The sequence below is a fragment of the Homo sapiens genome, chromosome 5 (assembly GCF_000001405.40).
Source record: "Homo sapiens chromosome 5, GRCh38.p14 Primary Assembly".
Classification (NCBI taxonomy): Eukaryota; Metazoa; Chordata; class Mammalia; order Primates; family Hominidae; genus Homo; species Homo sapiens.
The window spans coordinates 114,233,055-114,256,608 of NC_000005.10; the positions used below are offsets into that span (position 1 = coordinate 114,233,055).

At 35.9% G+C, this 23,554-nt stretch overlaps 1 protein-coding gene and 1 pseudogene across 3 annotated transcripts in view, besides 1 other annotated feature; both read left to right on the plus strand.

Moving 5' to 3' along the window:
- The window catches only part of KCNN2 (potassium calcium-activated channel subfamily N member 2), a 440,519-nt gene that overhangs the window by 177,077 nt on the left and 239,888 nt on the right, over positions 1 to 23,554 (plus strand). The window lies entirely within an intron of this gene.
- On the plus strand, positions 20,459 to 20,700 carry RN7SKP89 (RN7SK pseudogene 89; annotated as a pseudogene).
- Positions 22,124 to 22,635: an enhancer, noted in NCBI's record as "NANOG hESC enhancer chr5:113590875-113591386 (GRCh37/hg19 assembly coordinates)". NCBI's record gives its function as "activates a minimal SCP1, AML or CMV promoter by ChIP-STARR-seq in naive and primed H9 embryonic stem cells {active_cell/tissue: H9 hESC(naive and primed)}" and the evidence as "EXISTENCE:reporter gene assay evidence [ECO:0000049][PMID:30033119]".

Consider the following 23,554-nt stretch of genomic DNA (forward strand, 5'->3'; position numbering starts at 1 on the left):
GGACTACAGGCGCCCGCCACTACGCCCGGCTAATTTTTTGTATTTTTAGTAGAGACGGGGTTTCACCGTTTTAGCCGGGATGGTCTCGATCTCCTGACCTCGTGATCCGCCCGCCTCGGCCTCCCAAAGTGCTGGGATTACAGGCGTGAGCCACCGCGCCCGGCCTATTGTTTCTTGTTTTAACAGATACAAAAATAATTTAGTCTCTTGGATTTTAAAACTGGTTTTACTGCTTGCAACACTCCTTTTATTAAGGTGATAGGCAACTTTGCGTATTTGATTATGTTTTACATCTTGGTCAACTGGATACCTCTTCAGGTATATTAACATACAAATAACATATTCTGATCACTCATATATATCTAAGGATGTATTTTGCCTTGATTCACAAAAAAGACAGCTTTTGTTTTTTGTTTTTCAATAGGACCATAACACTCTCTCCTGATCATTTACATGTTTCTCCCTTGACTCTGTTTTATAATATGGTGAAAAAAGTCTGAAGCCAACTTAGTTTTGGTCTTTTGTGGGAAACCGCTTTCTTTTTCCTGAACAGATATATACAGTATTGTTTTGCACTTTTATTCTTATAGTGAAAAAAAATCAGAATTTTCTCCATTGTTATAGTTTAAAATTTTACCAATGGGCATATTTTAATCAATTAAGATTAACCACAATGAGAACACAATGAGACTTTGCAATTTGCTCCAAAAATATTGAGTGTGCTTTATCTTTGATTGCTTTTGTTCTAATTCTTCTTATCTTTAAGAAAACTACTTGTTTCCATTTTTCTTCTCTGTTCCCTATCCTCTGTATCAGTCATCTTCTCTTGCATTATTTTAGTTTTGTCCCATTCTTTTGAGTTCTGAGATGACACTTGAGCTTTTCTTTTATATATACTTCATTCATTTACCATTCCTTAGAATCAACACTTCTTGCTGTAGCCTTCAACATGAATTTTAACTTGGCTCTAGCTTTTTTTTTTTGGTTAGCAATTCATCCTTATATCATTCATTTGATTTTTTCCTCACCTAGTTATTTATAACAGTCTCCTTTTATTTCATAGCAACCATATTGTTTGAACTTTATTGAGGATACCAAACTGTTCCTGGAAGTTTTCTTCTGAATCCTACTCTAGATTATTTTCAGACATATCATTTATCTTCTGAATCTTAACCTTATTTGACAATGTTTTTCATAAGTCATATGTATTTTTTTCTGTCTCTCATCCTCAAACCATGTAAGATCAGAATTTCCAATAAACAGAGAAGACTGACCTTGTGCGATGTGCGATGGTAAATTTTTCTTCTCAGATGCAGGTTGGACTGAGACAGACATGCACAGTTTCCTTTTAACTTTACGATTCTGTTAGGATTTCATGTAGTATATTCTTCTTTGCTCATGTGCCATTTTTCTTTGTTCTCAAGGGCCTTGTTATCCCATTATATTGAACTAATGCAGTATATCAAGCAAAACATATTCCAAATGAATTGGGGTATTTCTTTGTTCATAGATCCTTCACCCAATAAGACACTGTTTGGAAGGACATTGTTCCAAAAATACACTGTGCTGCTTCCTTCACGGTTGTTGAGAATCTGCATACTCAGGTATATGTGTGTAAACGGGAGGTGGAGAGTGGAGAAGAGGGGAGTGAGGCAGAGTAGCTAGTGACAGGATTCTGCTTACTCTCGGGGAAACATTTAGGGAGCAGAGCAGGATGGCTGCCAACTAGAGAGTTGTGGGCCTCCCTGGAACTGACTTAGGGAGCAAAACCTGATCAAAGGGAATGGCCTCTTTAAATCCTTTTGAAGATACTCTTCATTTGGTTAAGCAAGTTCAGTATGTGTTATGAGTTAGAGCTCAGAGAGGATTTTCTGTATCTATCTCCTTTAGTACTCAGTAAATTAAACATATTTATGTCCTGTTTTGGGGGCTATGGGAAACTGCTTTAACAGTTTCACAGTTATCCTTTCTGTGAACATGAATATTCTTTTGAAAGTTTTGTTTTCTCATCTCCCATATGAGAGCAAAGGAAGACATCTAGGAGGACATCATTTCAAAGTCACCTCTCTGAGCACCTCTGTGGCCTGAGGAAATTGTGCTTTCTCTTTCATAAACACATGATTAACCTAACTACCATTTGAGGCAAAGTAGCACAGTCACTGTCCTGAGCATGTTTATAAAATATGCAAATCCAACTTGTCCTTTGCTTCATTATTGCATCCATTATTTAGTTTCATTATAAAACATTTGAGGGTGAGAAAGGACAATTAATGCAATTAAGTTTCCATGGTTTAAAAATTCCCTAATTTTAGTAAATGTTTTAATGGAACTTTAGCGTTAAAAATGATGAAATTCATCACCTTAATTATAACAGTGTCAAATAAAACAAAACAATTATTCTGAAAACTCAGATATTCTATAAATGAACACTGATTCATAAATGGAAAGCCTACTGTATAGTTTATACATTGGAAACCTATTTGTATAGTTTAGAACTATACATTAGCATTTGTTTAGAAACTATCCATTTATATTACCAACGTGTATACATGTGCTTTTGCTATGTTTCTGGGTGAACAGGTTTAAGAAAGGAGATAGGAGTGAGGCTAAACTGTTCGTTTTTTAAAGGGCTTAAATCTCTAGTACACAATGTAGCTTGCTTAAAACATCACTGAAGATACATCACAAAAGTCTTCTTTTCCTTACTATCTACTTTGAGATTAAAATTTAATCAACATTTTCCAAGAAGCAATTAAGTCTCAGACCCTGTACTAATACTTTGATTTGTTTCCTAACACTCACAGCTGATGAGGAAACTGAGTATGAAAACGGCTGGATGATTTGCTGAAGATTACTCAGCTGGTTGGGGGAGAAAACTAATCAGTATAAGTGTGCTGTGCTAGTATTGAGGCTATGCAGCGATCAGTGAGAAGCATTTGAAGGCTGCCTACTTTAAACCATTCTGGTTCCATTTTATCTTCCTCCTTGGGTGAGGGGTATGTGAGTATATGTATTGTATATGTATATTTTAACAGCCATAATTGAGTGTGTCATATATACTTTTCTCCTCTTTAGGTTTTGGTAGTCCATTGTTATTCTTAAATTAGGCATCATTTACCATTTGCAGTCTTAGTTCTCCTAGAATAGTTCTTTGTCTTTCCAAAAGCTACCAATGGTGGCAGATAATGGCTAGATTTCTCTTCAATATCCAAACCAAACGTAGCTAAGTGTGTAGTTGGTGTACTTATAGAAGGAAAAGAAAATAAATTTTTCCTTCATTTTTTGTCCTAAAATTTGTTTGGGTTTTTAAAGATTATGTTTTTTTCTTTAGACTTTAGGCTTATAATTCAATTACAGTTAGAATTGTGTTACAATTCTAGGTTCAGATCATATGCTCATTGTTGATCCACATATAGCTACTAAAATAATGAGTACTCATGAATCCAGAATCTAAAGTAAAAGCTATACTCTGGTTTCTCTTCAGATCATATAAATCTTTTGCCTTTTACTAAAGTAAAAGCTGAGATCTTGGAAATAATGACTGACATTAGGCCATATGTATGCCCTTCATCTGATTTTGCTGCCCCCCTTCATCCAGGCCAATATCATCCCGACTCCTGTGTTTATCATTAATGTGTTTTTCTTTCTATTTGTGTAATATATATTCATTGCTTGGATATATGTGAAATGTGAAATATTTTTTCATTGCTTGTATAAGTATTATGTATATTACCTGTGTACATGTACACACATATATATACACATACTTGCTTTATTTGGTGTTTATGGAAAAGGATACTATGCTATACGTAATATTTTGGGACTTAATTTTTCATAGTACTTAGCTAAGATTCATCATATTTTGCATGTTACTAGTTTATTCAATGTAACTTTCGGTAAAATATACCACATCATAGTCATCAAGCCTCCCAAGGAAAAACACTGTTCACAATAGGTTCACTCTGTGGTGAACAGTGCTGCTAAAATAGTCTTGAACATAAGTCTTGCTATACATGTGCAAGGGATTCTCTTGGGGATATATTTCTAAGAATGGAATATCTGGATCACAGGAGCTATGTGATTGTTCAGCTCTTGAAAATAAGACCAAACTGATTTCCAGTACGACAAGCAATTGTTGCAACACTCTCTCTCAAAAACTTCACCATTCAAACTTCCATCTCCTGATGTGGGTTGTCAAAATTCACACACACACACACACACACACACACACACACACTCACACACACACTCACACACCCCACAGAAAAAAAAAATGCCCTGGTTTTGCTTTCTATGTGTGAAAAAGAACCTACCTAGGCAAGACATGTAAGCCCCTAGAACTTCCAGAAATTGAGGGAGCTGACCTAGATTAGTATCTTTCAAGCCATGTCCTGCAAGTGGCTTTGCTGTGTGTACCTATGCAGTTGTGGACATTGGAGACTATTTGGTACCTGAAGGTGGAGATAAGGTAGGAGGGAGAGAGAAGGCTGGGGCTTTAGTAGATCCCCCGCCATGACTAAGAAAGCAGCTTCACTTTTATCTCTAAATTTTTTTTTTATTTTACCTGATGAAAATCTTCCTTTGAAAAACACAATCTAAAGTTTGAAACACACTGGCACAGGCAATTTCTCAGGTCCCTTACTGCCCTAATGTTTTATGATTATGCATTGTATTATTTATGGTAATTAATGCTAGCTGCAAGTGATTAAAGCCCCAAATCTCAGTAACTTAGTCAACAGAAATTTATTTCTAACTCATATATAGCCTTCTACGGGTTGGGAGAGGCTTTACTCCACGAGGTGACTCAGGGAACTGAATCTTGTGATGCTCAGCTCTTGCCCCGTGGCCTTTTAGGTTGCAGCAGCATAGGAAGAGATGGATGGAGGAAGCATACCAGCTTCTGACTTACTTAGCTCAGAAGTGACACTTGAGCTCACAGCCCATTCATCAAACCAAGTCACGTGGCTTCAATTTCACCGCAAAGGAAGCTTAGTCATGTAGAGGAACACATTGAATATCTGGACTCAGTAAGTCTCTCTAGCATTTGTACCAAGTGCAGGAAACATAATTCACATGCAGAAGGGCAGAGTGATCACAGTAAAGGTGAGATATAGTTAAATACTAGAGACTTCTTGAGAAATACTTTGCTATCCTCTTGTAGGTTACTCTTTTCAAAAGATTTCCATTGTGGTCTTTTTGTTTATTTTCTAGAAAATATACACTATTTCCATGAAGACCTCTAATTCTCTTTTTTTAGACTTAAAGGATAAATTACAAAAATTGGATTATTGTTGGGTGCAGTGGCTCACGCCTGTAATCCTAGCACTTTGGGAGGCCGAGGCGGGTGGATTGTCTGAGCTCAGGAGTTCAAGACCAGCCTGGCCAACATGGTGAAACCCCGTCTCTACTAAAATACAAAAAATTAGCTGGGCGTGGCAGCAGGCACTTGTAGTCCCAGCTACTCGGGGGACTGAGGCAGGAGAATCGCTTGAACCCAGGAGGCAGAGGTTGCAGTGAGCCAAGATCGCGGCACTGCACTCCAGTCTGGGTGACAGAGTGAGACTCCGTCTCCAAAAAAAAAAAAAAGGATTATTGTTCTCTACTGTATTGAAATTTAATTTTCTAAAAAACAATTTATTGGATTCCACCATAGGGAGCTGGCATGGCAATTTATGTTAATTTAGAATGTAATTCCACTAACCTATGTCCTATCAGCCTGAGCAGTCTATCTCTTTTAACATAGATCAAAATGCAAAGGCCCTTTTCTCATGAAGCATGGACCTATTTTTTTTATGGTGTGCTGAGATGAAGGAGAACAGGGTACAGTGTTCCTGATAATCTTTGATGTGATTTAATTGTATTTTTGAGCTTGATGATAATGTCTTTATCATCTAGTTACTGTTCTACATCTCATCTCCTGGTGGTACAGCATGCTCAATGTGGTTTACTTTCTGAAACAACAACAGATTTAGTTTTTATGTTGATGAGGATAGGAAGAGGCCCAAAGATTGCATCAGAAGCAATTAAATCATTTTGGGAAGAGTTAGTATGCTCTTTGGAGGGTAATTCTGGTGACTCAAAGTAACTGTAAGTGCATAATGGAAAGAAGCCCATGCCTGGTGTGGGTGTGTAGCTTAATGGAGAATTGGGAAAATAGTCAGCTAGAGAAGCAAAGATAAAATTATAAACCCAGTGATGTGGGAAATAACTGACATCAGGGGATATATTTCAGCTGACTGATAAAAAAGCCACCAAAGACTTTGAGAAGGAAAAGAGGAAAAGTTAACCGGTGTGAGGAATAGAGGACAGAGAGGAGATGCTTATTGAAAAATTTACAGAAATATATTTAGGAGCTAAATACTGGCATGAGATATTTTTTAAAAATATTGCTCCTGCAAAGGAAAGTACTATTTTATTTCCTGACCTTGTTTTAAAATGAAGCCTAACTGGGGCAAAGCAGATTTAGGGACAAAAAAAATGGGATAGGACCATTTTGATTCACCCTATCTTTATCAGTTGGAGGAACACTTGAGAAGAGACAAATTAAGGTCGTTTTTTGTTTTCAACTATTTGGATCCTTTAGTATTTTTTGTCTTGTTGCTTCCAGTGGTTACTCACATTCATGTTTGAAAAGTGGTTCTTTGCAGTGTGAGCTAATGAAGTAACTCTCTAACAGTGGTTTCCCTGTGGGACTTAGCCCTTCCTTCTCCTTTATTTTACCAATTTTCTTGAGGAAACCTCCTGAGATCTTCATTTGATGTCATAGGTGTTAAAGCCTTTGAACTATCAGTTGAAAGCACCAAATAACAAATAACCAAAAGATATATTAGAAAGGCAATTAGAATCTAAAAATTTTGAAGTATTAGATTGAGATTATTTTGTAACTGCATTCTAAGCATTAAAAAGGTAATTCGTATATTATTGAAATAATCCAAGGAATAGAAAAAATTGAGACCTTCCCAGTTCATTTTAAGAAACCGCCATAAGTTTAACATGAAAACTGTCTACAGTATCCTCAAGAAAAGTAAGGATCATTTTCAAGTATGAATATAGATATTAAAATTAAATAAAATGTTGGCTAATCCATGTTTTAAAATGATAGTAACTTGTGATTAGGGGAAACTTACTCAGTTTACATGGTTTAACACTAGTAAATCACATATAAAATGTATTATACCAAAAAAATTTGAATTATAATTATTTAATTATATTGTAAGATGTTAGACAAGAATTGGTGAAATTCATTTATTCCTCATAAAAGCTTATAAAATAAGAATAGATGGAAATTGCTTAGACATGATAGAAAAACATATAAAAATCTACTGTTAATATTATATTTTAAAAAGAAAGCTCAAATTATATTTTTCTTTCTCTTTTTTTTTTTTTTTTTTTTTGAGACAAAGTCTCACTCTTTTACCCAGGCTGGAGTTCAGTGGCATGATCTCGACTCACTTCAACCTCCACTTTCCCAGTTTCAAACAATTCTTGTGTCTTAGCCTCCTGAGTAGCTGGGCTCACAGGTGCACGTCACCATGCCCGTCTAATTTTTGTATTTTTAGTAAAGACGGGTTTCGCCATGTTGCCCAGGCTGGTCTTGAACTCCTTGCCTCAAGCAATCCACTGCCTCATCCTCCCAAAGTGCTGGGATTACAGGCATGAGTCACTGTGCCCGGCCTCAAATTATTTTCAATAATGTAAGAAGTAATACAGAGATAGCTGCTTATCACTGCTATTACTCAAGTAGTATTTTGAAGATTTTAGTTAACATAATGAGGCAAAAATATTTTTATAGATCTTTGAAAAATTAGTATAAATATGTGAAAAGAATTTAAAAAATTATCTGCTAATAATGAAATTACACAAGAGGATTTATTAACTCTCAGGCAGATTAAGGAAATTGGTAAGATTGCTGAATTAAAAATATATAAAAATTAATAGCTTTTGTGCTAACTAGCAATATCTAGTTAGTAAAGATTATTTGGAGTAAAAAACATTTGTATATGTGTCTATATGTATCCTGATCCAAAGAAAAATAAATTATAAACCACTTAGATATAAGTACTTGATTATAAAAGGAAGTTATGAAATATAACAAACATATTTAAAGAAGACTCAAACAGTAAATGTCTGGATAAAATAACTCTAATGTCACAAAAATAGCAATAATTCTGAGAACATTATGTAATTTAATGTAATTCCACTCAGCATTTCAATAGATTTCAATAGATTTGGAATAGGTAAAATTCATTTTAGATAACGAATATAGTAGGATAAATTTTGGAGAAGAGCCAAAACATTTTGAATAAAATAGTGAAGATAGTTATGCCTTAACAAAAATTAAAATGTATACCAAGTTGCTATAATCAAAACATCATTCTGTCTTCAGGAGAATCTAAATAAATGGACTGGTGAAAACTAAAATATACCAAAATGGAGTCAGGTATTAATACGTATAGGAAGTTACTACATGGTAAGGATAAAATTTAATTCACCTTTTAAAGGACAATTTATTTAATAAAGATTGCTGTCATGTGGAAAAGAAAAAGCTAAGAACCTTGTCTTTCACAATAGGCAAAAACGTAATCTATGTTAAATATTTAAGTGTAAAAAATAAAAATGTTAGAATAAAATTTACGAGAATATATATGTGGATATATATATATATACGTATATATATACATATATACGTATATATATGTATATATATACGTATATATATACATATATACGTATATATATGTATATATATACGTATATATATATATGTGTGTATATATATATATATATATATGGAGTGTGAAGGACCACCAAAATTAGACAGATCCCTGGAAGATTTAAAGATATACATATTGGACTATTAATCTTTTAAAGCATGTACAGCTATATAGAACCATGAAGTATGGAGATTTTATTCATTTTTCAGGCTAAAGGGCCTCCCACAATTTCATGGATCAGTGTGTTCTTGTGCCTGTTTCTTGAGCCCCAGTTCCCACACGGTGAAATGGAGAGTGTCAGGTAACACATGCAAACACAGTGGGTTACAGAAGAGATATCCTGAGCTTAGGGACCCTAAAATTTTTATAATGGACAATAAGCATGCCTGCTTATTATTATTTAGAGGGAGGTATGATCTCTGCTTTCCATGGCTGCTCTCTATGCAAACATCCTTGTAAAGAGTGCAGAACAAAGGCAGTCAGTGCCTCTGCTCAGTAGACATATGAAAGCCAAGACCCATGGAGAGTTGTCTTCAACAATAGCATAAACAAAATAAAAGGTAAAATAATGAACCTCATAAAAATACTTGCAGCTCATATAATAGACAATGAGTTTGCATAGTTTTGACCCAGAAATCCTGTGTTGATAACATATCTAACAGGCATTAATCCAGTTCTCTATAACTATTTATTTACAAGGATATTTATATAAGCATTGTTTATAGTGACACCAGTTGAGACACAACCTGAATGTCTACCAAAAGAATGATTATATTAATTCAACTATTTCTCTACTTAGTCCTTGGGAAGACCAGTGTTCTATGTATTTATTTTGAACTCGCGAATAGGAAAAAAGCAACTTCAGAGTAAATGTTAGAAAGAGCAAGAAGGACAGAAGGAAGGAAGGAAGCAAATCGATCTCTAGGTATTGGTATACATTTTTGTGAACATAGAGAAAGGAATAGAAAAGTATATTACTATTGGATTCCTTAGGGAGAATGCAATATAGGGAAGATAGATTATTAACTTTCTAAAAATGTGGTTCATCTTTGTATTGCTTCCCCTATTACAAATTAATAAAACACAAAAAATAAAAATAAATTGGCCATTCTTTTGGCAGTAAATGAGGCCCAACATGCCTTGTTTGGGACTCATTCATTCATCTATTTATTAAACAAATATTACTGAGTGTTTTCTCAGTGTCAAATACTGATTAGACAGGGAAAACACCAGTGAGCAAAAGAAATATTCTCTGCCATTGTGGAACTTATATTCTAGTGGGGATGTCAGAAAATATAAAAATAAACATATAATATGTCTTCATACAAAATTATTGTTACATAGTATATTTTATACTGCATAAAAAGCCCTCTAAATCTAAGTTATTTAGATTGTGGCTTAGAAGAAAGCCATTTTAAGTTCTCAGAGTTAAGAGGAAAGAAAAAGATGAATAAGAACCTACAATGACATTTGATCTCAACTAACCTGTGTAACATAGCAACTCACACATATGTTTACGGTAGTCTCCCCTTTTCCTCAGTTTTGCTTTCTGTAGTTTCAGTTACTCGTGGCCAGCTGAGGTCTGAAAATGTGAAATGAAAATTTCCAGAAGTAAACAATTCATAAGTTTTAAATTGCATGTAATCCTGAGTAGCGTGATGAAATCTCGCAGTGTCTGGCCCCATCTTGCCCCGTACCTGAACCACCCCTTTGTCCAGCGTATCCACACATCTATGCTACTGGCCCATTAATCACTTAGTAGCTCAGTTATCAGATTAACTGTCATGGCTTGTGTTCAAGTCAACTTTATTTAAGTTAATAATGGCCCCAAAATGCAAGAGTAGTGTTGCTGGCATATTGTTATCATTCTTGTATTTCGTTATCAGTGATTGTTGTTAATGTCTTACTGTGCCTAATTTATAAGTTGAACTTTATCATAGGTATGTATAGGAAAAACATAGTATATACAAGGTTTGGTATGTGGTTTTAGTCATCCACTAGGGATTTTGGAATGTGTTTCCCCCAGGATAAAGGGTGACTACTGTACTTATGTTACAGAACACCAAAGCAGGTTTCACTTTGGGTAAGAATAAACAGGAGATGAGCAATCTTCCATCCAGAGTCCTTTTTTGGTATGAAAACATTCTTAAACCCTGTCTTAAACTACTGCGGATTGCAAGTACTGGATCCCAAAAGGAAGGATTCACTGAGGGTAACTGTAAGACAACTACAGTAAATGTTAACCCTAAGAGAAACCTGGCAGACCTAATCTCAGCAACTGGTTTACTGATATATGAATGCATGTGAGAATGCTTCTGAATGATGTGGTTCCTCAAATCCAGAACTGAAAGGCAGCTGTTAAATGAGCTTCACTCATATCTAGTTAGGGCAGTCTCTAAATTCTAGAACTTTCTGAAAATAAGAAGAGGAAGTTAGTGTAAATGTGGCTTTCCTGTTGGAGCACGCAGTAAACAGACTCCTAAGAGTAGCAAGAGTAGAATTTTTGGACCTAAGAGCAAGATGGAATTTTTTTGCTTGTTTATTTAAAAAAAAAGAGGCTGGGCATGGCGGCTCATTGCCACTTGGGGAGGCTGAGATGGGTGGATCACCTGAGGTCAGGAGTTCAAGACCAACCTGGCCAATATAGTGAAACCTTGTCTCTGCTAAAAATACAAAAAAATAGCCGGGCGTGGTGGCGGGCACCTGTGATCCCAGCTACTTGGGAGGCTGAGGCAGGAGAATTGCTTGAACCCGGGAGGCGGAGGTTACAGCGAGCCGAGATCGCGCCATTGCACTCCAGCCTGGGCAATAAGAGCAAAACTCTGGGGCGGGCATGGGGGGTTATTGGGGGGAGTGTGGAGGGGAGAGACAGAGAGAGAGAGAGAGAGAAAGAGAGAAAGAAAAAGGTCTGTGGGCTTCTTTAGACAGTAGTCCATCTGTGTTGTGTTGGTGAAGTTTGTGAGGACAGTAGCAGCTTCCTGGCTTGGTGTTTATGTCAATTAACGGTGGTATCTGAAGCTTTACTCATTGAAGCTAACATGCAGGTTATGGGGCTCTAAAGTCACAAATACAAATTCATTTTCTTAGTGGGTTTGCTTATCATTTAATAGGGTGCTTCTCTTTTGGAGCTTCTAGAACTGCTGGGTTATTCTGTAACTTAATGATAACAATGCAGGTGAAACTCTTCCACAAAATAAAGCAAAAAATATTAATGGCTGTCAAATTACTCAGCATAAAAGCCAAGAAATAATAGTTGTACAAGGCAGTGGCTGTTTAAAAAGAATTGTCAATTAAAGTGTTTAGCCATTTGCAAACAAATTCATCAGACAAAAGCAGGTACTGGTAAAATATTTAAATCCTTAAAATAATAAAAGAAGATTAAGGTGTCAAAGTTGATGAAAACAAATATCCCATAGTAAAAGCAGGAATATTTTCTTTCTAAATCAAAAACTCTAGTGCTGCTGTCACTGCAGTTGTATTCGTATGTGGGTGAGAGAGGTAGAGAGGTATTTGGGTGTCTGGTTAGACTTGAAGTGGTCTGAATGTTAGCAGGATTATTGATAAACGTGATATCTCTTCATGCACATAACAAATCACCTTGCATTTGTGTAGCATTTTATACTTCACCAAATGCTTTCACATATATTATTTCACTTAATCTTTTCAAGACTGTTGTTACTAACAAAGAAACTGAATTTCAAAGAGGGAAAGTGAATTGCCCAAATTCACACAGCATCTATATCAAAAGTAAAGTTTCTTATTTCTCACACAGCTCACTGCAGCCACACTATAGCTGCCTTTTGGTTTATAGTGTAGTGGATGAATTGCTTGCCTGTCTGTTCTAGAATGATTTATCTGACTGTGAAATAACAATATAAGTATTTTTTGGCAAATTCCAATATTCTTTGTCAAAAAACCCCTAAAAACAAAACAAAACAAAAAAACATAGAGCTGTCTTAGATTATCTAGCTCAAACTCTTCCTTTCACAGTTGAGGAAAGGAAGGCTGAAAAATTTACCCAAGGGCCTTTAGCAAGTTGGAGAACAGTCAGGAACAGGTGGACATATCTTATGTGCTAAGCCACTGAGGACTCTTTTCTGCTCTCCTGTGCTGCCTCTACCTTATCACCCAACTTGTTCTCAGCATATCTACTAAAACTCACAGAATTCACACAGAAGGCCAGATATATTGATGTGGCCTCAAACCCTCAGGGATATTAGACATATAAACAGATTTTCTAGGATAGAAGTTTTTTCTTGGAGGATCAGGGTGGTCTTCAAGCTTCAGTACAGTACCATGACTTTGATCTCTGATTTCCACTGATCTGTTAGGTGAATTGTCCCTGAGTTTATTTCCTATTTTCGTGAATGTAATTTTCTCTATAAAATTGCCTTGATAAATACATAAGTACTTGTTGTAGATATAAATATATATGATACTAAAGAGGCCAAGAAATACTGATTTGTGCTTCATTTTGTTTATTTGTACTCATAAAAATACCTAATAACTATAATGTGGGATGATTATGCATCTTATTGGGTAAAATTATTTGCGATGCTCTAGGCAGCAAGAGCAGTCTTCACTTTTATGTAGAGAAACCATTATGTTGTTGAAATTTTAGAAGATAAACAATGCGTAGGTCATTTTTCATGGTTATGAATACTTATCTACCTATTACAATGATATATTTGGTCTATGAACTTTATTGTTTATAGAGTAGAATTACTAAATCACTAAAACTCAGAAAGGCTATAAAATGATTAATAATTATACCAAGTTAAATTGACATTACCATTATATAAAAGTAAAAAAACTAACATTGGTATCGTACTTTTAGAGCTACTGTACCTTTATTTAAGGCCAACTAAACAGGTATTTGTGATAGTCATAATCCCAAGGATATGTCCATAGTTGGTTGGTTTTTAACTTTCAAATGAATAACACAATATTCAAATGAATAACACAATATTCAAATGAATAAGACAATATTATTCTTATTCAATTGTTACTAATATGGAATATTAGTTAATATATATTAGTTAATATTCTTATTCCATTTGTTAATAATGCCTTTATTAGCTAACATAATTTAATATTTCTAAAACCTAAGTTAATGAATTATTCGAATGTTTTTAATTGAGAAGGTAGAAGGAAACGAAGGAAACAACACTGTTGTTGTAATATAATTTCTCTGATTTGTTACCTGGAAATGGTTAGATTATATCACTTGCTGATGAGTAGGATCAAAGAGTGACCTGGGGCCGGGCACTCACGCCTGTAATCCCAGCACTTTGGGAGGCCGAGGCGGGCAGATCACTTGAGGTTGGGAGCTCGAGATCAGCGTGACCAACATGGTGAAACTCTGTCTCTACTAGAAAAATAATAATAATAATAATAATACAAAAATTAGCCAGGCATGGTACCATATGTCTCCAAAAAAAAAAAAAAAAAAAAAGAAAAGAAAAGAAAGAGTGACCTGGCTAAATGAATAAGAGATATCTGTGCTGACTCTTCTGTAACAGACAGTTTTCTACACATGCTGGCTCCTTATTTGTCACTTGAAGATGATTCTTGGTCACTGTCTGTCCATAAATGTTCATGAAGTTTCCTTTAGATTAAAATGTATCAACAATGCATTATTAAATTTTATTATTTAGATTTTGAACTCTTGTTTCATTACTGGCAAGTCCCCAAAGGTCAGCAAAGTGCTGAAAATGTGTCCCACTGTGTCATGTTGAATAATTTCTAAAGACTTTTTAAATGAAAGGACCAGGATTGAAAGTAGATTAAGTATCCACTTTCAACTTACTTATCAAATATTAGATCAACTATAAAGAATAGTTAACTTGCCTAATGTTTTTAGTAGCCTGAACTTGCTAAGAGCATGCTCACGTACCCCGTTCCATGATGGGATTTGTCAGACTACCTTAAGTAGTAGCTTAGATTTAATGAAACAAGAGTAAATGATTTAATCCATGGAAATTGCTGGCAACTATGTCTGACACACAGCAAGTACCCAAAAGGGTAGCCATTGTTGACATAGTAGTTTTTTTTTTCAGAGGAAGGATTATGTCTTAGGTGGGTTTCTGGATTTGCTAATATTATTTCTTTCAAGTTTAATTGGAAGCCCTCCTTGTGCATCTCAGTATAATTATCTTCAGAATTCTATCTTAATTGTTTTTGTGTTTTCCACCTGAGACTTTGGACTTCCCTTTTCTTTGCTTTCCGTCCTGACTTAGAACAGAACTCTAGACTCTTCTTACAGGTGGATGACTGCTGTGAGCAAGAATGTTCAACATGTTGCCTTCCTTATTCGAATCAGGTCATGTCGACCTACTTGAAGTCTCAGTCCAATGCCTTCTTGTATAGTAATGCTCCTTGTTTCCCCCAGATTTTTACATGGACAGGAAAGAGGGAAGTGTATATTAGGGGGTTAGGATGATTCAAATACGCATTATTTCAGCTTGAGAGTTGGTGTCATCCTCTTAATGATATTATGGAAATTCATCATGTTTGGAACATTAAATGGTACCTATAGTACATCTTTTAATTTGCCTCAATTAGAACTGACAAGGTTAATGAGAAGTTTAGTTATTTGGGGGGAAGTTACACAATGTAAAATGTATATTGACCAACATTGAAAAGAACATGTAGGTAGATGATAGTGAAAGGTAAGATATATATGGATCAAAGAGCACAGAACATATCTGAAAGAGGCAGAGAGGATAATAGATGTTTCCAGCTACTAAATACTTCTTTTTTTATAAGTTTGCATTACTTTTGCAAGAAGTTAGGCTTTATTTCCTGGCAGTCAAAGCAAAAAATAAGTGTACATGGTTTTGTAGTCTCATTTACCCACTAGAAAATTATTTCAAATTTATTTACAGAGAAGAAAACATAATCTTTGAAATTAAACTCAAGCAACTATTTATCATAGTGATTTCTGACCATAGAGAGACACAATGTACATTATTTAAAGCAAGCATTTCCAAGTACTTTTTCTGACTTCCATTATACTGAGCATAATATTAACAAATTTTTTTAAGTTGCCCCTATTAATCCATAAGTTATAGAGAGCTGTGAAGAAGAGGGTCACAGCATATAGTGTAGTAACCGTTTAATGAATCATTCAAACTGGAACTCTTGAGGGTGTGAAAGGGGCACTGTTGGCAATTATGCCATGACAGCAGGTGAAAACCAGATTGTCCTGGTAAAAACTGCAATGAATGATCACCCTAGTACAGGGTGTTACCATATTGTCCCTTTCAGATTTAAGTGTTAGGAAATTTTCAGGAGTAAATTTCTACAAAGACAAAGTTTCTGCATAAAATAAAACATGAGAAGAGAATAGACAATCAAAATAGCAAGACATTCTCTAAGTTCTGCTGATGATTCAATGGAGATTAACATTTCTTTTTTTTTAGACATGAACTTAAAGTTCTGTAGACCACATTTGTGAAGAACGTAAACATGGTATCACGAAAGTTCTCAGTATATTTCTTTTTCTTTCTTTCTTTCTTTCTTTTTTTTAATGAGAGGGAATCTGGCTCTGTCACCTAGGCTGGGTGGAGTGCAGTTGTGTGATTGTGGCTCACTACAACCTCCACCTCTCGGGTTCAAGCCATCTCCTGCCTCAGCCTCCCAAGTAGCTGGGATTACAGGTGCGTGCCACTACACCCAGCTAATTTTTGTATTTTTACTAGAGATGAGGTTTCACCATGTTGGCCAGGCTGATCTCGAATTCCTGACCCCAAGTGATCTGCCTGCCTCGGCCTCCCAAAGTGCTGGGGTTACAGGCATGAGCCACTGTGCCTGGCCCTCAGTACATTTCTAAAAAGAATTTTTTCTCTGACAATATTATGATAGATTCAAATATACAAAAATAAATCCAAACTATTAAAATTAGGCATAAATTGGAATTAGTCTGAATGAATAAGAACCTAAACAGTTCGGAATTAAAAAAAAACCCTAGCTTCAAAAAAAAAAAAAAAAAAGAATGGGCAGCATTTTATTTTGTTTTTCAACAAGAGGTATGCAAGGCTGATTTCTTGCAAAAATATCATCGATCTGAATATGAAGAGAAGAAGACTTGCAGGTAAGGATAAATATGCTGAAATTTAGTACCCCATGTTATGTTTAGTTACATGTTATGAGAGTGGCTTAGTATCTTGGCAACATATGATACGTATAACATTCTTTTTATGAGAGCTTTTAAAATTACTCACATATGCTTGCCTAGATTGTCTGGTTCCTTATGGTTTCCATTGTGCTATATAAACAAAGTTAAGGATGTGCATTCCTAGTAAGAGCCTGCTAAGAGCCTAGGAAAATGGGAAGAAATCTTTTAATGATAGTGTGTATTTTCATTTTTCTGTAGCCTTATAAAGAACCAGGAAATACCATGTCTAGCATGAGCAGTTTGGATAAGCCTTTTAAAAAAAGGAATGTTATATTATAAACAAGCTACATTGTTCCTTAACTGATGTGTATCCCCAAAGTCAGCATGATTCTCTGTTATCTTAACAGGTTTGGGTCTAGAACTGGGGAACTTGACAGAGCTTCTTCATTATAATGGGAATCTGAGTGAGTTTCTAAGCCCACTCAGATAGGGTCTCTGGAGAATTGGAAGTGTCCCTTTTATTGAGGAGTAGAGAGTGCTCGCCTAGTGTTGAGCTCATTTTCAAAGGTTCTCTGAGACCAGAGGTTTAGAAATGAAAGGCTGCTGTATCTGCTTTGATGTGTCAGAACAACATTAGAGACATTTCCAGTAGTTGGATGGAAATGTCAGCTGATAATATGAAAAGGTAGAGTGCACAGGGCACATCTCAGGAAGTTTGATAAAAATGGCATTCAGGAGATAGCTCGTAATTGGGTCCTATAAGTGATGTAATGAAGTCTATGGCCCCTGAAGGAATGCAGGCAAGAGTCTGTGAAATGCACAAGCAAGATTCAGAGTGAGCCGTCTATGGTCTATTTTGGGCCACACTTAGAGCCACATTGGTCTCACTGAGTTGTCTCTACTGCCTGATTCTGAGCCTCTTACTAATGGAAAGGAATTTAATATTTCTCTCCGGCCATCCATAGACCATTCATTGCCCACCCATAGTGATGAGTAGATTGTGCCTCCATAACCAGCAGGCTGACTCTGGTGTTTTAAGAACATATCTAGGACAGATGATGTTTAGGATGCTTATGTGGTTTGATTGGCAAGCTGTATTTATACCAATATATAAAAACAGAATATTTCCATGAAGATATGGATTTCTAATTTCTCCAAATAATGGAAAATTCCTCTAATAACAGATCCTGGTAATGCGGTACATTGCATCCTGGTAACAGTCAGGTGGAGCTGAGTATCATGGGCCCTTTGTAAAGGGGTGCAAGTGTTTTCCGGTTGGCCACAGGCCTTTTGCCAGTGCTGAATTGTGTTGCCTATTGCAATTACAACCAGCCTGCTTCTCCCATTGTTATCGCCTACATAGCCTTTCTAAACATTTACTTTTGTAATCCTGATCTGGACTAATGGAAAGTCACTTGTTTAATCAAAGATTCAAAGGCTTTCAAAGTAGAGCTTGGTTTGAATCCTCCTATGCTATCTATTAAATATATAACTTTGAACAAATTACTTAACTTTTCTGAGTCTCAGTTTACTTATTGATGAAATGAGAGTAGTACTACCTTCTTTGCAAAGTTGTTTTAAGGATTCAGGAAAATATATAGTATGGTCCCTGGCACAAAGCAGTACTAAATAAATGCTAGTTATTATTGTTGTTCTTATTTGGTTCTTTCCAAATGCTGTTCAATAGAATAAAGGACTTCATTTAGTCTTTTCTTTGTTACATTCAGTAAGTTCTTGACTTTGAAATAAAGGAACTATGCACTAGATGTGGTCACGTGTGCATTCCACCTGAACTGTTATATTTTGCATCTTCTCACAATTACATTGTACTTTGTTGGTTGCTTTCTTTTTATTTTCCTCAGATAGTGTAGATTCTTTTAATTCTTCTGGACCCTGAGTATATTTTTTATATTTAACTGGAAAAATAGAATAATATTGTAATATAGTTTGTTTGTGGTTTATATGGTTTTTCTGTTTTTTCTTTTTCTTTTTCTTTTTTTTTTTTTTTTGAGACAGGATCTCGCTCTGTCGCCCAGGCTGAAGTGTAGTGGTGTGATCTTGGCTCACTGCAACCTCTGCCTCCCAGGTTCAAGCAATTCTCCCACCTCAGCCTCCCGAGCAGCTGGGATTATAGGCATGCCCCACCAAGCCCGGCTAATTTTGTATTTTTAGTAGAGACGTGGTTTCACCATGTTGGCCAGGCTCGTCTTGAACTCCTGACCTCAAGTGATCCTCCTGCCTCAGCCTCCCAAAGTGCTGGGATTACAGGCATGAGCTACCATGGCCTGGCCTAGTTTTTCTGTTTCTTATGTAATTAAAAAATGTTTTTTCTATTAACCTTTATATCTTTCTGCCCTATGTACTTAAAGTTATCAAACAAATGTAACAAAAATCAATATAATAAAAATATAGTAAAGTAATAGAATACAGAGAAACTTATATGAAGAGACTCCCTCAGATGAGATAGAGCCTTGAGATGACAGTTTCCTTCTGCATTTTTCCACATCTGAGGCAATAGGGAACTTTACTGGGAGAGGGAATACCTACCACATTCCAGAAACCAGGATGCATAGTTCTGCATTTGTACAGATATGTTCCCTCTCTGTTTTCTCTCTCAACAGTAAATGTTATTATATAAGATGGAGCTTGCAGTGGAGGGGAAAGAGCAATGAGGCCCTTAGTTTTATCCCATTTGAGAATTTCTTTTCTATTTAGTTAGGAGAGCAGAACTAAACTGTGAAAATCAGTAGTTTATGGAAGTAAGAATCCTTCCCCCCAACCCCCACCCCCCAACCTCTGCCATTTTCTCTGTTTCTATAATAACTTGATAGCCAGGACAAGCTCATTCTGAGAAAGTTTGGTGTTTTCATGGCACTCTGTGTAGCATGTGTGTGTGTGTGTGAGAGAGAGAGAGAGAGAGAGAAAGGGTGACAAGATGACATGTGGATGGCCACACAAGGAGAGACGAGGACTGAAAAGAGAAATGGCAGTCAATGCTGTCATTTTTGCTAATATTTCCCTGACCCTCCCCACCATTTCAACAAGCAGCTTTGCTGTCACACCCATCTCTTTTATAAGCATGCTCTTTCCCCTGACTTGGTAAAACTGCTTTCATTTAAAGAGCTCTGCTCTGCTTCTCCTTGGGGGGTAGTACCTCTTGAACAGCCTTTCTGTACATCTAAAGTTGTCAAAAAGATCCTTTCCATTTTTGCTCTTAGTAGAGGTTTCTTTTTTTTCTTGCTTTCTTTTTTTTTTTTTCCTGCCCTGAGCAAAACCTGGTGACGGTCTTTCCATTCCATCTGGAATTATGGGGCAATGGACCTAGATATTTCTCCTAGTGCCTTCAACCCCTAAATAAAACAGAACTAGAATTAATAATCTGAAGGGAGAGGAGGCTACCTTATGGAAATGCAGGTCAAATGGGAGGAGCAGAGTACCTGGAGAAGTTCACAGTGAGACTGGAATTTAGCTTTCTACCTGGGTAGACAGAAGCAGAGAAAAGTAAAACAGGTAAGTGAAAGATTTTGTCTGGACTCACGTAAAGTTCCCAGAAATAAGTACTAACAATGCTATTTTCCTCATTTGTTAGGAAACTTTTGGAAATGATACTTTAAGGGAAGGAGGAGGACGTGAGAGTTATCTGGCTGCCGCTCCACTGAGTGCCAGGGTTGATTCAGCTGATCTGGCTGGCTAGGCGGGTGTCCCCTTCCTCTCTCACTGCTCCATGTGCATCTCTCCTGAAGCTGTGTGCTTGGTTGAAGAGGACGACCTTGTCCCCAGTCCAGGGTATATGAGTAGCTGCGTTCCCCTGCTGGAACCTCCAAATAAGCTCTCAAGGGCAGGAGGAGATCTTATTTACATTATTGTCTCTTCTCATTGTATTTGTTCCATTTCTACCTTTTTTACACCATAGGCTTTTTACAGATTATGAATCTTTTATAATTATTTTTCGAAATAGTTTCATGGTTGTATTAGATTGTTAGATGTATATTAAATCTTTATTGAGTCCTTATGATGCAATTAATCTGTGACTCTTGTTTGCATTCTGCATCAAGGACCTTTATTTCATAAACAATTGCATGCCAAGTATACTTTATCAACATGATCATTAAAGGAGGGCTAAATATGCTCAGCAAGATAAACTTGACAGCACAAGTATTTTTTTACTTAAAACAGCTTATAGGCCTTTTATTCTGAGATTCACTGACAAAAAACATTTTGATCTGATAAAAATATTTCTGGCAAAGAAATAACCCTTTGAAATATATTGCAATGTTTTGCTGTAGACTATTTAGAAGAGGCTCTGTATTAATGAAAAACAATACGAAAAGATAGAAAATATAAAAATACACTCAGCATTTCTATTTTTTTTAAAAAAATAAGCAAATGTATTATAAACACCTTTAAACATCTCCACAAGAAGAGGAAAAATCTTCCAAAGTACAATGTCTGAATCCTGTATATGCACAGATTAGAAATGTTTATTTTACTTATCTTGAGATTGTAGAGAGCAGATACCAGCTTTTCTGAAATGACAAATAGTTTTCATTTCTTTAAAACTGATATTCAGGCAGATACATTTAAAATACACCTGAGTATAGGTCATCTAATTTCTGCAGAAAGGTCTTCAAAAACTCTTTGGTAGAGCAGAATGGTTGAGCTGAAGCAGTCCCAGTATCTGCAGAATAGGACTTATAAAAAAGTTATCACAGTAAATATTTCAGAAAAAAAGTAATCCTAGTAAGTATATTTTAGCTTATAGTGTGCTTTTCTGTATTTTAATAGAGCTTTTGGATTAAGCCTTTTCTTTATCATATCTGTTCCTTAGAACAGTTTTTCTCTTTCTTATAAAAATATTGCCTATGCTTATTCTTATATTCCTTAATCTCCTGAAGCTGTAACTTAAAAACAAGCAAACAAATGTTTAAATGAAATCTGTTCATTCACTTAAAGAAAAATGATTGGTAATGTTTTCAATTAACTCTAGAAAACCTGTACATAATTACATTGAATGATCTGAGGCTTGTATTTACCAAAAAAACAATCTTAAGTAATCTGATTAATTTATAAAGTTGGATTTCTGCTAACTCAGTAAGAATTCATTGGCCTCATCATTTTTTGATGCACCAAAAATGGAATGGCTCTATTGAGAGGTACAGAGTTCACAGTCTGTAAAGGCATAGGTATTTATGCAGAGAAAAGATGACTGCTTGATGACAGTTACTATTTTGATCATTTAATATGTATAAGTTACGGTGAAAGGCACATGGGTATACAAAGAGAAAAATGCCAGATGTCTTCCCTCAAGGAGTTTATCACCCGAGACAGAGAGACATATGTGAACAAAATCTTACACGTGCATTGTAGTGTTGTAGTAGAGCTATATGTAAGTATATACAAGATACAGTGGCAACAAAAACTTAGCTGAAGGAGATAGGGTTTGGGGAAACTCATTTGACTCTTAGCAGAAAAAGGAGGAATTTTCCAGACGGATGAGGTGCTAAGGAGGGCATTCTAATTAAGATAGCAATGTAAACACAGCATGGGGTATTCTGGGAATTGTAAAGATCTTGCTAGGCCTTATCAAAGGATGTAGAGAGGTAGCGGTGAGAGAGAAACACATGATGAGAGATGAAAGCCTGGGAGGTAGGCAGGAGCCAGATAAGGCAGGGCCTTGTAGGCTGCTATAAGGATTTTGAATTTTATCTTATAGGTAGAGAGGAAGGAACCATCGTATACAAGGATCAGATTTTTGTTATGAAATGATGGCCACAATAGTAGGAGAAGAGTTGTAGAAGGGTGAGGTTGGAGGCAGTTTGGAGTAATTTTCACAGCCAGATCAGAGATGATAGAGGCATAAACTGGAGGATTTGTAGGGCATGGGAATACATAGAATTTAGGAGGTAGTAAAATCAGGTCTTAAGGTGGCCACTTCCTCTGTGATTCAACAGTTGTTCAAAGTTTTTTATTATTTGTATTTTTATCAATTTAGGGTACAATTACAGTTTTGTTACATGGATATATTCTCTAGTGGTGACGTCTGGGTTTTTAGGGGAACTATCCCCTATATAGTGTATATTGTACCCTAATTTCTCATCTCCCATCCCCCTCCTACTCTCTCACCTTTCTGAGTCTCCAGTGTCTATTATTCCACACTCTATGTTCATGGGTACACATTATTTAGCTCCCAGTTACAAGTGGAATGTGCAGTATTTGGCTTTCTGTTTCTGAGTATTTTACTTAAGATAATCATCTACAGTTCCATCCATGTTGTTAAAAAAGATGTGACTTCGTTATTTTTCATGGCTGAGTAGGATTCCATGGTATGGGTGTGTGTGTATATATATATATCTACACATATACATACACATTTTCTTTATCCAGTCATCCACTGATGGACACTTAGATTGATCCCATAGCTTGGCTATTAGGAAGAGTACTACAATCAACATATGAGTGCAAGTATATTTTTGGTATAATGATTGCTTTTTCTTTGTGTGGACACCCAGTAGTGGAATTGCTGGATTGAATGGTAGCTCTATTTTTAGTTCTTTGAGAAATCTCCATACTGTTGTCCATAGATGTTGTACTAATTTACATTTCCATCAGTGTTGTATGTGTTTCCTTTTCTCTGCATCCTTGCCAACATCTTTTGTTTTTTGACTTTGTAATCATAACCTTTCTGACTGGTACGAGATGGTATTTCTTGGTTTTCATTGCA